At 44.9% G+C, this 15,307-nt stretch overlaps 1 protein-coding gene across 2 annotated transcripts in view, besides 2 other annotated features; it reads right to left on the bottom strand.

Moving 5' to 3' along the window:
* STOX2 (storkhead box 2) overlaps window positions 1–15,307 on the bottom strand; it is a 225,509-nt gene that overhangs the window by 194,203 nt on the left and 15,999 nt on the right. The gene's annotated exons all lie outside the window — the stretch shown is intronic.
* Window positions 3,346–3,846: an enhancer, noted in NCBI's record as "H3K4me1 hESC enhancer chr4:184746635-184747135 (GRCh37/hg19 assembly coordinates)". NCBI's record gives its function as "activates a minimal SCP1, AML or CMV promoter by ChIP-STARR-seq in naive H9 embryonic stem cells {active_cell/tissue: H9 hESC(naive)}" and the evidence as "EXISTENCE:reporter gene assay evidence [ECO:0000049][PMID:30033119]".
* Window positions 3,847–4,347: an enhancer, noted in NCBI's record as "H3K4me1 hESC enhancer chr4:184746134-184746634 (GRCh37/hg19 assembly coordinates)". NCBI's record gives its function as "activates a minimal SCP1, AML or CMV promoter by ChIP-STARR-seq in naive H9 embryonic stem cells {active_cell/tissue: H9 hESC(naive)}" and the evidence as "EXISTENCE:reporter gene assay evidence [ECO:0000049][PMID:30033119]".

Genomic DNA, 15,307 nt, shown 5'->3' with positions numbered 1-15,307 from the left:
AACTCACAATCCCACCAGTCTTAAAGAATGTTGAATGTAGAGATGAATGTTTTTAATTTTTCCAAAATAAGAATGTGTATGTTTCAAAGAATAGCAGATTAACTAAATGCCTCAAATATAATTTCTCTCATCAAAGAAAAAGATGATAGATTTTTAAAAACAAAAGACCACTTTCTTTGGATAGGAAAAGAGCAAAAGTTTATTTCTAAATTCTCTTGTTTCTTAATGCTAATTGGCAAAATATCTGTGGAGAAAATTAGTCAACTTTATAAATGTTGCCATAAAACAGCTGAAATCAGCAAATTGCTAATCTCCCGGTTGGCACCCAAGCCAAACTGCTTTCCTTCTTCTGCCTGTTACAACTTAAATCTACCTGACAAAACACATGTGTCTGCAGCACCAGGTCTGGCGTCCGTGGTAGGTTTTTTACAAGGTACCCATGATTCTCTGTCTAGTTTTAAAGTGTGATCTTGGTTAAATACAGAAAAAAACTCCATCAGGCTCAAGGTACATCACAATACTCCACTTTGAATTTGGCAAGGTCCCCCAAACAAAGTGATGAATAATTTCAAAGCAAACAGAAGTATTTCACAGAAGTTCATTTTTTCAGTTATCTGAATGCTGGCTCATTTGTCAAGACATTTTCAGTACCAAGAGCCAGCCTGAATAATAAAAGCATGTACCTAAAAACTTAAATCTGTCGCCTCTGGGATTATGCCCTAAAAGCATGGATTTACCCCACTGCATTCATTTACTTTACTCAAACACACTGTCATCATTCAATGCACCTCCCCAAGTTCCTGACCATTTTTTTTATAAAGGGGGGAAAAGCCAACATAACAACTTGCAAGAAAAATCAAGTGGAAGGGTAGAGACGAAGAATGAAATACAGGAAATAGACATGTTAGACTGAATATGACTGAAGAATCTAAACACATCCCCCGAGCCACACCCATCCTCTTTTCCTGGGGCTGTTTCTTCCTCCCACCTTCCCCAGCCCTGTCAAGACTCTACCGCTGTGTCACTCACCCAAACTTATGACTTCAGAGGCAAAATGCGCCAACACCCTCTGCCAGTTTCCGAGTCCACCCTGTCATCACAGCCAGCTGGCAGCTCCTTGGAAGTCTCTTTCTCCAGCCTCAAACCGTGCCTTGCAAACATGGGCACAATAAACATTTGCTGAATAAAGTGCAACAAGTACACAACATTTTCAGGTACTTTGCTTTAAAAATTCATTCTCAAAAATAGACTGTCTTTTGTTGGGATCCTGATTTGAACAAATGAACTGTAAAAAAATGTTTATGCAAACATCAGAGAAATTTAAACACAAACAGGATAGCTGGTATTAAGGAATTACCAATAATATGATATTTTTAAGTCTGATAATGGCATTGAGGTTATACTGGGGCAATAAAGGCCGTCTTTTTTTCTTTCTTTTTTTTTTTTTTTTTGAGGCAGGATTTCATTCTGTCACCCAGGCTGGAATGCAGTGGTGTGCATAGCTCACTGCAGCTTTGAACTGGGTTCAAGCAATCCTCCTGCCTCAGCCTCTCGAGCAGCTGGGACTACAGACACGTGACACCACTCCTGGCCCATCTTTTTGAAATTTATTTATAAAATATGTACAAGTTCATTGTAAATACAATTGCTAATGTGTTGTATTTACAATAGTATGATGTCTGAGATTTGTTTCAAAATAACCCAAAGTGAAGATAGAGGTGACAGCACCAATGAAACAACATGGGCCATGTGTTGATTACATTAAAGCTGAGTAAAGAGGAACTCATTCTCTCATTCCCTCCAATTCTTTGTTTTTTTATTTTTATTTTCTTTTTTTAGAGACAGGGTCTCATTGTCACCCAGCCTGGAGTGCAGTGGTATGATCCCAGCTCACTGCAGCTTCAAACTCCTGGGTTCAAGCAATCCTCACGCCTCAACCTCCCTAGTAGACTACAGGTGCGTGTCACCACACGTAGCTAATTTCCTCATTTTTTGTAGACTGGGGTCTTGCTGTGTTGCCCAGGCTAGTGTTGAACTCCTGGCCTCAAGCGATGCTCCCTCCTTGGCCTCCCAAAGTGCTAGGATTACAGATGTGAGCCACCGCACCCATGCTATTCCATTTCTATAAATGACTGACATTTTTCATAACAATAAAATAGGGGTTATTTTTATTTCAGTGCTATAAAAATACGGTGGTTGCAGCCAGACTTTCTGAGTTCAAATACTGACTATACTACATAGCAGCTAGGTGACCCTGGGCACCTAACCACTCTGTGCCTCAGTTTCCTCAGATGGTGTTAATGACAGCCAATACCTCAAAGCTCTGTTGAGAAGATTAAATAGGTCATGTTATATGTAATGCCTGGCATATCATAAATACTTATAAATTTGCTATTACTATTATTACCATTACCGCTACTACTATCACTGCCTTTTGCATTATGATTGCCTGTTGAGCAGCAAGCTCAATGCTGAGATCAGAGAGGAACATAAAACACAGCCTTTCTCTTCTGAGGGTCTTTGGTCCAGCTGGCGATTCCAGACGCAGAGAAAAGAAAGAGAAATAGCATTTGTCCAAACACATTCTATGTAGTGGACACTGTGTATTCTCCCACTTAAGCCTCCGCAAACCCTGCGGGGCAGATTCCACGGTCGGGAAAACTGAAGTTGAGGGCGATGGTGTGACCTGCCAGGGCCACATTGCTAGCAGGCAGCCGTCCCAGGACTGTGTGATACCAAGTTCTTGCTCTTTCGACAAGCTAATGGCTCGTATTTGAAAGGAGTGAAGTGGTGTAGAGAATACAAGCCATGGAAATGGAAAGCAGAGAGGTTACACTTACTCAGCAGGGAGGTCAGAGTGGCAGCTTTCACAGGGAAGACGAACTGTGCCTCGAAGGCCAGTGACGGGGACAGGGAGTCGCTGGAGCCAGAGGCTGCCTGGGTATCCCCTGAGATAGATGAGCAAGCCATTCTCAGGGGAACAGGTTCGCTGATGAGGACGGTGAGGGGCAAGGCTCAGGGAAACCATGGAGGGGTCAGGACTAGCAGTGGTGATGAGAACAGAAAGAAGTGCCCCAACAGAAAGGGAAAAAAGACCAAAACCAGATGGAACCTGGCAGCTGAGTTTGTTTTCTCAAACTTGGTCCTCGAATCAACTGCACTGGAATCATCTGAGGAGCGAAATGAAAACGAAATGCAGGTCCCCAGCCCCACTCCTGGTCTGCTGAGCTAGAGTCCCTGGGAGTGGGGCCCAGGAGTCTGTGTTTTAACCTGTTTCCCGATGAGTCTGTTGTGCACTAAAAACTGAGAACTTCTAGATTAGACAAACAGGAAAGAGCAGAAGAAGAGGTGATAGATTACCCAAAGGTTTCAGCGACTGCAAATGGTGTCGATTTTCAGCTCACAGCCAACGACCCTTCTCGCGCCTTCTCCCCATCATTTGCCAAACTGACTGCCATACTCGTTCCCAGACTAAACTTCCCCAAACACTGATTTGATCACACCCTGCCTGTGCTCAGGAGCCCAGAGCAGCTTTCCACTGCTCGAAGCATTAAATCTGAACCCCTCCCCGGCAAAGTCCAGCCCCAGCCACCTCGCTGACCCTGACTCCTGCTCCACTAGGTCTAGGTTGCCCCTGTCCTGTCAAGCTATCCTCAGAAAATAACAATGGAAGCCCATGCTCAGGGCTTCACCGCGAGTCCTGGGACACAGAGGACGGGCAGGGAGGGGTCGGGCGCTGCACCCACGTTGGCAGGACAGAGGCACGGACACACACACCTACAGCGAGGGTGGCTGCCTGCACTTGGGCCTGAAGGAACGTCTATTCACCCATTGAAGGTTGCCTGCCACCCAGTGCAAGCCTGTTTTGCGGTCCAGGGATGCTAGGAGATGACACGAGCTGACCGCTGCCATCTGCAGCACGCGCCACACGAGGGATGGCCCAGCTGTGTGAAGGCTGACCGCTCCCGGCCCACCTTCCTCCCAACCTACTGCTTGGGAAGCCTCATCAGCTGCATCTCCCTCCTAAGAACACGTCCTTCCTTCCTCGCCCACAGCCTCTCCTCCTCATGCATAATTAGCTCAAGATCCTCAAAGCAAAATAAGCTGGAAGAATGTCCCAGCCGTCCTCATGGTGGACCTGAGACCATCCACCACGACCTCCTGACACCATGGGGTGACCTTGGATGCTCAGTCCTAGCTCTGCCTCTTTTCAGCAAGTGTCTTTGATGAGCAGCCTCCTTGGTCCTTAAGAGCCAGGGATTATCCACCATGTTCCTCCCCGATCCCCAAGCCCAAGATTGTGTGAGGAGATAGGGGACATGGGGACATTCCAATTGTGCAGGCCAAGAAGAGAACCCACTTGTGATTGCACACTTAGTAGTCCAGGGCAAGGGTCACAATTGAACTCTATCGGTCCCCTCTCTTCACGAGCTCACAGCACTTGCCTGGAAGCCCCCATCTGGGCACTTAACCACCCGCCACAGTCTGCTGCCCTGCGTGTCTGGGGAAGCCCTGAGTCCTGAGCAGCTGGAACTAAATGCATGATGTCTCCTGCCTCTCCCATGGCGCCTAGTATTGGTGCATCACATAATACATACTAAATAAATCTTCTATTGGTTCAGATTCTGTTATTTTTACAAAATGCACATTTTACTCTGTGCTTCCCTCAAAACTTTATCCCATGTCAAATAAATATAATTTCTGTTTACCAGTTTACAGCAAATTAAGAAACTTTTCTATAATCACACAATAATATCTTTTTTTAATTTTATTATTATTATACTTTAAGTTTTAGGGCACACGAATCACACAATAATATCTTTGTGGCTGTTTATTTGAGAAGCTCTCAGAGTTCATCCAGATGGCTGGCCGTTCCATTTCCCTCTCTCCAGCGTGCCTTTTCAAATCAGATGTAACAGAAATTTACCTAACGAAATTACCCAAGGCCCAAGGCCTAGGAAAGTAAAATAGCCTTAAATGAAAGTAGAATGTCGGTGAGAAATAATTTATAATAAAATATGAGGAACATTAGCAGGTGGTGAGAATATTGTATTAGCTTTATGACCCAGAAAAAAAAATTGCTATGAGGGTATCCCTGCTTAAATTATCCTATTCTGGCCAGTATGAATTTATTATTACATTGTTTTAATCCCAAAATTATTTTAAAGTAGGTGACGGTTTATGAGCTAAAGCTCAAAAAAACCATTGTATGTATACAACTGCTGAATTGTTCTAACATCTGATGCCTTCCCAAGTTTGCAATAACACCACAAATGGATCTCATGGAAACCACTTCTCACAGAAAGTTCAGTAGCCGATTTTACGATACATGGCTACACATGTCTGCGTATCTGGGAAAAAGATCAAGACCTGAAGCCGCATTTGAAGGACAAAATTGCCTTGCTGTTATACTGTTTTTAACGTATGCTGTACATTATGCTTTACAATAGCTAAAATGTGCCAAAGAACAAAATCCCCGCCCTAGAGGATTTACAGTCTAGAGGCACAGATGTTAAGAGCCAAGGAAAACGCCAGGAAAGTTGTGAAAGTCTTTGGAATTGAAAGGCCTCTGCTCATCAGGTAAGTTTTCAAACCCGCGGCAGCCTCCGCCAGATGGGCTGGGAAGTGTGACAGCCCTTTAGGCACTGGTGTCTCTCGGGCCCAGAGCTATGAGGACGTGCTTTGCTGGAACTTCTTGTGGGCCAGACATCTGGTGACTCACCAGAGCTACTACGATTAGGGCAGAGAGCACAGCTCCACATTCCCTCATCTTCCAGGTCTATGAGCCTAAGGAATGTGATGGGCTAGTGGGAAGGAAAGTCTTTTATTGTGTAACAGTTTGCCTTTCAACAGTCTACTTCTGGACAGCCAGCTGTTGCCTCCAGATGATAGTTGGGGGTTTTTTGGTTTGTTTGTTTTTTGTTTTGTTTTTAGACGGAGTTTTGCTCTTTTTGCCCAGGCTGGAGTGCAGTGGCACATTCTCAGCTCACTGCAACCTCTGCCTCCCGGGTTCAAGTGATTCCCCTGCCTCAGCCTCCCGAGTAGCTGGGACTACAGGCATCCACCACCACACCCAGCTGATTTTTGTATTTTTAGGAGAGATGGGGTTTCACCATGTTGGCCAGGCTGGTCTTGAACTCCAGACCTCAGGTGATCCACCCACCTTGGCCTCCCAAAGTGCTGGGATTACAGGTGTGAGCCACCACGCTCAGCCCAAGTGATAGTTTTAAAAAGAGAGAATCATCGCTAGATCATTGCGGTTACATTTATATTGAAAGAAAAACGTAGATCATACAAGCTTTCAAGAGCACCCGAAGGTTCTCAGGAGGTGCACAGCAGATGGGTCGGACACAGGAAGGCTAGGAGAGCCATGTGCAGGCTCAGCCGTGGAGTCAGGCAGACCTGGGCTGAGGTCTCAGCACTGCACAGCTGGACCTCCAGCAAGATACTTAACCTCTCTGAATTTCAGCCTCTTAGACAATAGAGATAAGAAGAGCCTCACTGAGTTTCCATGAAGATTAAATACAATCATGTATATCACAGGGGTCCCCAACCCCTGGGCCACAGACCGGTACTGTGGCCTATTAGGAACTGGGCTGCACAGAAGGAGGAGAGTGGCAGGCGAGCCAGGGAAGCTTCATCTGCATTTGCAGCTGCTCCCCATCGCTCAGATGGCCACCTGAGCTGCGCCTCCTGTCAGATCCGCGGCAGCGTTAGATGGTCATGGGAGCGTGAACCCTTTTGTGAACTGCGCATGTGAGGGATCTGGGGTGTGTGCTCCTTATGAGAATCTAATGCCTGATGATCTGTCACTGTCTCCCAGATGGGACCGTCTAGTTGCAGGAGAACAAGCTCAGGGCTCCCACTGATTCTACATGATGGTGAGTGTATAATTATTTCATTATATATAACAATGTAATCACAACAGAAATAAAGTGCACAATAAAGGTCATGCGCTTGAGTCATCCCAAAACCATCCCCCATGCCAGTCTGTGGAAAAACTGTCCTTTACAAAACCAGTCCCTGGTGCCAAAAAGGTTGGAGACCATGATATACATAAATGGGTTACTTCTCAATCTAAGCTACAGCCAGCGTTCCATTAGCAGTAGCTTTTTAAAAGCTCACTCTCCAGCATGGATGGGATCTGTCCTCTCTGGAGGGCACAGGAATCCCATCTAGGCTTGTGGCTTATGGGGGTTTGATGCTCCCTAGCACGTGGGTGGCAGAGACTCCATAATCCGGGGCCTGAAAGGCTGATCAGGACGGGAAGTTTGCAGAGCACCCTGCCCAGGAGGGCAAATCCCAGAGACCTAGGCACCCCCAGCCAGCCTGGCTGCAAGACCCGACACAAACTGTATCACCTTTTCCACACACAAGCGTCCTTTTTAGGGAAGGGCAGGGTGGGGGACATAGACTTCTAAAGCCCCATCCATTTCTGTTAGATCCTAAGCTCCAACTCTGTGACTAGAACCCCACCCTACAGACTCACAAACCTGGGGCAGGGGTCAGAATGCAGCCCGGCAGGAACAGGGACAGGGATGGGTGCTCCGCAGGGATGTGGAGGGGGAGGCTGCTGGAGCAGCAGGGACCCCTCCCCTCCCCTCTAGGCAGGGCTCAAAAGGGAGGTGGTGGGGTGTGACAGTGGGGACAGCACCCTGCAGTTCCGGAAGAGGACACACTGCCAACCCTCACCTTCCCAGCCTACCTGCCTGCCAGCCTCCCAAAGAGGCCTCAGGCCCAACCCCAGTGACATCAGAACAAAGGACACAGCAAGATGGGGAGCTGTGAGCAATGACCTTCGCAGCAAGGGTTGGGATCACCCGCATTCTCTTAAGGGTCATGGGTGAAAATATCCAGCAGGTAGAAGAAAAGGAATTACAATTTTCAGAGCAGCTAACAGTTGCTGTGCTCTGGCATGAATAATATCAGTGTAATGCTTTCGTTTGTTCTTTATAAAAGATCCTCTACCTGCTAGCACAGGCTTCCACCTATTAAGACAGGGAGGAAAATAAAGCCATTATCTGCATTCCGTGAAGCACCATATGGTTACACACGGGCCTCCAGCCAAGGGAGGGTTCTCACCAAGCCTCTGTGTACAATTCAAGAGCAAAATTAAGTCGTTATGCTATATTAGATTGGCATCAGGAAAGGAGGGCCAGGAACTCAACAGAACCGTGAAGAGAAAAATCTCTTTTTTCTTTTTCTTTTTTCTTTTTCTTTGAGACAGGGTCTCACTCTGTTGCCAGAGGCTGGAGTACAGTGGCACAATCACAGCTCACTGTAACCATGACCTCCCGGACTCAAGCAACCCTGCCACCTCAGCCTCCTGAGTAGCTGGGACTACAGGTGTTCACCACCACACTAGGCTAATTTTTGGTGTTTTTTTTTTTGTAGAGACGGGGTCTCACTATGTTGTGTTTGAACTCCTGAGCTCAAGCGATCCTTCTACCTCGGCCTACCACAGTGCTGGGACTATAGGAGTTAACCACCGTGCTCTGCCAAAACACTCCTTAGCTTCATTCTTTTTTTAATCTCCTGGTTTCTGAGTTACCTTGAATGTCTCAAAAACCATAATGGGGATCAGCCAGATTTGACTGCACAGACAGCTTCTGTTATTCAATCTGCATACTTTGAAACTAAGTATGACAATTTCAGTCCTTTGCAAGATACATAGCCTAATAATTCTAATAACCATATACTGTTATGTCTAAATAAGCAGACAGATCAAAAGAAATTTACTCAAAACTCAAAGTTTTAAAACAGTAAAGAATAAATTGATACATTTATGGTTTTAATCTCATTGAATCCTCCAATAGGAGAGCCACTTGTCTGAGACCCTGCAGCTTTTAAAGAGTAGAGCAGGGATGAGGGCCCACATTCAAATCCAGAGCTCCTGGCAGGGCACCCAGGTTTGTCACCTGACAATGACATCAATGAGAGAAGCGGCAATAGGAGAGGAAAGGGACATGGAGTGGCCCACCTCCTCACAAGATAAGACCCTAATAGTAGGGGCAAGATGTGAAAACCAGAGACACACATGCACAAACAGGTTATGAGCCTCATGAACACAGAACATCATCTGGTAATAAAATAAAAATAGTCTAGCTGGGCATGGTGGCTCACGCTTACAATCCCAGCACTTTGGGAGGCCGAGGCGGGAGGATCACTTGAGGTCAGGAGTTCGAGACCAGCCCGGCCAACATGGTGAAACCCCATCTCTTAAAAAAAAGAAAAAGTCAGGATTTTTTCAGATCATTTTAATGGTGTGACTAGCGCATACTTCAAAAAGAGAGTAAAAGAAGAACTATGAACTAATATTCATTGGGATTTTAGTTTAACTCTGATACTTATACCATAATGCACATTCTCTAAGCACTCCAAATCTCAACTGTACTGTAAAACTATTTTCCAGAACATTGCTTACCCTATTTAAGAGCATAACCTCACCACCTTCTCCTCCAAAGGCAACGGCAGTTTGCATGGAAAAAGAGCATGGCCCAAAAGCCAGCAAAGCAAAGGGAGAAAGAACCTTATTCTCCTCCTTGTGATTTAGTGGGGCGATGCCGTTCAAGCCTTTTTCACCCATGCTTCCTTTTGACGAACATAAAATATCTCACGCCCTCCTTTCATTTCACCTGAAGTAAAATTAAGTGCATCAATGAAAAACATCAAAGCAATGATATTTTAAAAGAAAAATATTTCGCCTCTCCCTCCTCCCCCTCCCCCTCCCACTCTCCCTCTCCCTCCCCCTCCCCCTCTCCCTCTCCCCACAGTCTCCCTCTCCCTCTCTTTCCACGGTCTCCCTCTGATGCCCAGCCGAAGCAGGACTGTACTGCCACCATCTCTGCTCACTGCAACCTCCCTGCCTGATTCTCCTGCCTCAACCTGCCCAGTGCCTGCGATTGTGGGCGCGCGCCGCCATGCCTGACTGGTTTTCGTATTTTTTTGGTGGAGACGGGGTTTCGCTGTGTTGGCCGGGCTGGTCTCCAGCTCCTAACCGGGAGTGATCTGCTAGCCTCGGCCTCCCGAGGTGCCGGGATTGCAGATGGAGTCTCGTTCACTCAGTGCTCAATGTTGCCCAGGCTGGAGTGCAGCGGCGTGATCTCGGCTCTCTACAACCTCCACCTCCCAGCCCCCTGCCTTGGCCTCCCAAAGTGCCAAGATTGCAGCCTCTGCCTGGCTGCCACCCCCTCTGGGAAGTGAGGAGCGTCTCTGCCTGGCCGCCCATCGTCTGGGATGTGAGGAGCCCCTCTGCCTGGCTGCCCAGTCTGGAAAGTGAGGAGCGTCTCTGCCCAGCCGCCATCCCATCTAGGAAGTGAGGAGGGTCTCTGCCCGGCCACCCATCGTCTGAGATGTGAGGAGCCCCTCTGCCCCGCTGCCCAGTCTGGGAAGTGAGGACCGCCTCTTCCCGGCCGCCATCCCATCTAGGAAGTGACGCGCGCCTCTGCCCCACCACCCCGTCTGGGATGTGAGGAGCGCCTCTGCCCGGTCGCGACCCCGTCTGGGAGGTGAGGAGCCCCTCCGCCCGGCAGCCACCCCGTCTGGGAGGTGGGGAGCGTCTCCGCCCAGCAGCCGCCCTGTCCAGGAGGGAGGTGGGGAGTCAGCCCCCGCCCAGCCGGCTACCCCGTCCGGGAGGTGGGGGGCGCCTCTGCCCGGCCGCCCCTTCTGGGAAGTGAGGGGCCCCTCTGCCCGGCCGCCACCCCGTCTGGGAGGTGTACTCAACAGCTCATTGAGAACGGGCCATGATGACGATGGCGGTTTTGTCGAATAGAAAAGGGGGAAATGTGGGGAAAAGATAGAGAAATCAGATTGTTGCTGTGTCTGTGTAGAAGGAAGTAGACATAGGAGACTCCATTTTGTTGTGTACTAAGAAAAATTCTTCTGCCTTGGGATCCTGTTGATCTGTGACCTTACCTCCAACACCTGTGCTCTCTGAAACATGTGCTGTGTCCACTCAGGGTTGAATGGATTAAGGGCGGTGCAAGATGTGCTTTGTTAAACAGATGCTTGAAGGCAGCATGCTCGTTAAGAGTCATCACCACTCCCTAATCTCAAGTACCCAGGGACACAAACACTGAGGAAGGCCGCAGGGTCCTCTGCCTAGGAAAACCAGAGACCTTTGTTCACTTGTTTATCTGCTGACCTTCCCTCCACTGTTGTCCTATGACCCTGCCAAGTCCCCCTCTGCGAGAAACACCCAAGAATGATCAATTAAAAAAAAAAATTATACTAAAAAAAAAAGAAAAGAAAAAAAGAAAAATATTTATAGTCGCCTTGAAACATACATATTTTTTCTTGTCATGTAATTTTTTTTAATGCTGAGGGTGCTTGCTCACCGAAAGTACAGTGATAGTTACTTCATACCCAAGTGTTCTGCTGCGTGAGGTGGGGAGAACAGTGCAGCAAATGTCTGTGAGTGAAAGAAATAAGATAATACCTGAAGATGCACATTTGCTTGTTTTAATGTAAGATAACCACAGTGATCTGTAAAGTATATCTGGCACCTGAATCAAATTCCTCTTCCCAAACCTCGCTTGGAGTTCTCTTTTCAATACCATCGGTGAGAAAAGGTCTCTCCTCACAAGTCACAAAGGCAAATCTCTACTCATGTCAAGAGTAGGTGACCTGAATTCACCTAAACTGGATGAGATGTAACTTCTCAAAAGTCACTCTCACGAAGTCTTGAGAGTGTCATCAAATTGGTGGCTTATAATTATTTTAAAACCTGTTTATAAATGCATGAACTATAATGTTTGTTTTTATCCCTTGAAATTTCTATTTCTGTGTATTTGGAGTTTCCAGTCTTTCTACCAAATACACAATGCTCCACCTGAGGACTTTTCTTAAGTACAAACAATTTGATTTTTTCCCTGGCGATCCAAAAATAGGGCTACTATGTCTTTCAGCTCATAGTCTGGCAACCATACTTCCCACTGATCGCCAGCAAAGGACGGACCCTGCAGCCAGCATGCAAAGGGTTGCAAAGCAAGGCACGCCTCCGGGTGTGTGGCACGTTCTTTTGAACCCAGTGAACCATCTTGTTGGTAAGGACTGAGGTTTTCCCCTAGATTACTAAGCAGTTTTGAAAGCCATTCTTTTATGAATGACACAGATCAGCCCCCAAAATAGTTGGAGGGTTCTTTTCCTCTTTGCTTCAGTTCACTAGCTTCCAAGAATGTGGACACCATTTCAAAGCTTTAGTGGTGGCCACCTACCTGCAGAAAACAGTAGTCCTTTTCCATCTCTCATGACTTGAGGCATGTGCTGCACTCACCAGGAGTTGAACACAATTGCAACTATCAGAGCTCACAGCAAAAATGATGACGTGATCTGAGGCAACACTAGAAATTCAATAGCTTCAGCGAAGTCATCAATTCAGCCAATGCAGCCCTTGCCCGTACAGTTAGACAAAGACATCATCTGGAATTTCATCCCCATTTCCTCTGCAAAGAAGTTTTGGCAGACACAAAAATACGCTAATTTTCATGAGCCTATCTTTAATGAGGACTTTTTAAAATCTTTTCAAGTTACAGGATTATTTAATATAAAATTTTCACAGCTTTTGTGGATTTCGATAATGTGTTCCAGTTCCATTCCATCTCATGTGTGGAAGAAAAGTGATGTTTCCAAAATAAATGAATACACTTCACCATTTAAATTTTTTTGAATTTTTTTTTTAAATTTTATATTCAGGGGATGCATGTGCAGATTTGTTACACAGATATATCATGTAATGCTGAAGTTTGAGCTTCTGGTGAACCCATCACCCAAATAGTGAATACAGTACTCAATAGGTGGTGTTTCCACCCTTCCCCCTCCTCCTCCCTCCTTTTAGGGTATCTGATGTCTACTGTTCCGATTTTTATGTGCATGTGTACCCATTGTTTTGCTCCCGCTTATAAGTGAGAACATATGATATTAACTTTCTGTTTCTGCATTAATTTACTTAGGATAATGGCCTCCAGCTGCATCCAAGTTGCTGCAAAGGACATGATTTCATTCTTGTTTATGGCTGCATAGTATTCCATGCTTTATCTAATCCACTGTTGATGGGCACTTGTGTTGATTCCATGACCTTGCTATTGACGTCACCATTTTTAAAATAAGACTTTTATGACTAAGGCTAACTGGCACCACTGCTCAGCTTTTAAAAATATATCCAATATTCCTCTTACTCTTCACAATATACATTCATGTCCACATGAATCACTCATGAAATCGCTGGTTATTCCTTACGAATCGATTTGGTTTTCTTCCAAATTGACCCAGGAATTCTGAAATTTGGCAGGCCTGCAAAGTGAGGAAGATGTTACAATAATGTACTGTTGGACACTGGATGCTAAGGTTACTCCAGGTGTCCAACCACGTATGCAAGATTTTTTATCATTTCATGTCAATAGTATCAATAATATAAAAATAAGTGGTTGATTTTAAAAAAATACACACACAAGTTGTCTAAAGTTTGACATTTTCCTCTGCCTTCCTGAAAATAGACACTTTTCAACATCATTTATACCTTATTTAAGGTATCGCATTTGTTGCCCATGCAGTGTTCGAGAGACCTCATTCAAAAGATCTCGTGTTTACCTACCCATGCTGAGGACCACAAGGTTGAACAGTAACAATAAAGTCCACTGTGTCCTGTAATTAATATCTCACTTCACTCTGTTTCTTCTCAACTATGAGTAAAAGAATTTTATTCCCCTTCCTTCACAACAAAAATGTTCTGCAATTATAGTTTTCTCTCTTGCTTGTCAAAGAGCTAAACAGGCCAATCTCACTGGCTTTTTGTAATTGTCCAATTTATTTTATTTTATTTTTAAATTGAGATATAATTAATATATCATTTATTAAAAATCTATAGTTCATTTTAATTTCTAAAGCAATGTTGTAACTGAAATAAATTTAATATATGCTATTAAGTGTCATCATCATTAGACTGATACATTTTATAGTATTTTGCTAAGATTAAGCCTCTTTTGACTACAATTCCATTTCCCCACTTATGCATCTTCACAGTGGGTTTTTTAAAGCAACAACACAGGCCCACAGTGGTCCACACCTATAATCCCAGCACATTGGGAGGCTGAGACGGGAGGATCGCTTGAGTTGGAGACCAGCCTGGCAATATAGCAAGACTCCTTCTCTATTAAAATAAAAAAAAAAAATTAGCTGGGCATGGTGGTGGACACCTACAGTCCCAGCCACTCGGGAGGCTGAGGTCAGAGGATCACCTGAGCCAGGCAGCCACAGCAAGCTATGATCACACTGCTGCACTCCAGCGTGGGCAACAGAGCGAAACCTTGTCTTGAAAAAAAATAAAATAAAATAAAATAAAATATTCCCCCCAAAAGAAGGACTCTAAATCAAATCTTTTATTCAATTTTCTTTTTACTAAATCTTTATACTCAAAGTAACATCATTTATCGCTAAAGAAAATCTGAAAATGAAGAAAAAAGACTAAAATCACTTAGTTCTCTAACCCAAATCCAACCACTATTAATATTCACAGTATTAATATTTGTGTATTTTTGTATGTATTTTAATATTTGTGTTGTACCCAACAAACGGAATGTGCAGAGGGTCCTAAATGCTGGCCACAGGCTGGCACTAGACCCTGGCTTGGTGTAAACCGTGCCAGGCTCTGGTTGTCTGCCAGGTGACTAATTCAGGAGGTGGGCCACGGGGCATGTATTTGTTTGCTCACTCATTTATCTATTTAAAGTTCTCAGATGATTCTGACACACAGAAAAATTTGCAAATTACCAGTTTCAAGCACGGACCCTGGATCCCACAGGCAGACCTGGTCCCGATGCAGTCCCATCACTCAACATGGCTGAGCAAGATTACACAACCTCTCTAAGCTCAGTGTCTTTGTCCGCAAAATGAACAAACCAAGAGCCATTTATAAAAATTAAGTGAGAAAATTACTCGGCAAAGTCCCTAAAACATAATAATTACTCAATATACAGTAATTATTGTTATTCTTTCCCATCTTCCCTAAGCATCTGGTTTAAGATTCTGTTCTAATTTGTATTGTTGTGAAATATTCCATGTGTTTCTAAGTGACATTATATATCATAAGCACTTTTCTATGTTGCTTCATAACCTTCATAGATATTTTAACGGCTATATACTATTCCATCCAATATAAAGAACCATAATTTACCTAATATTTTCCATTCGTGGCATTTAGATTATATGCAATTTTTCTTCCTTAAAAATTGTGTAATGAATAGCTTCCTACATATAGCTCTCTACAAAATGTAAGATGCAGTAACTCTATTTCTAGGACTATCTCTAAGAC

Source organism: Homo sapiens, chromosome 4 (genome assembly GCF_000001405.40).
Source record: "Homo sapiens chromosome 4, GRCh38.p14 Primary Assembly".
NCBI classification, from domain to species: domain Eukaryota; kingdom Metazoa; phylum Chordata; class Mammalia; order Primates; family Hominidae; genus Homo; species Homo sapiens.
This window is presented reverse-complemented; position numbering and strand designations above follow the sequence as displayed.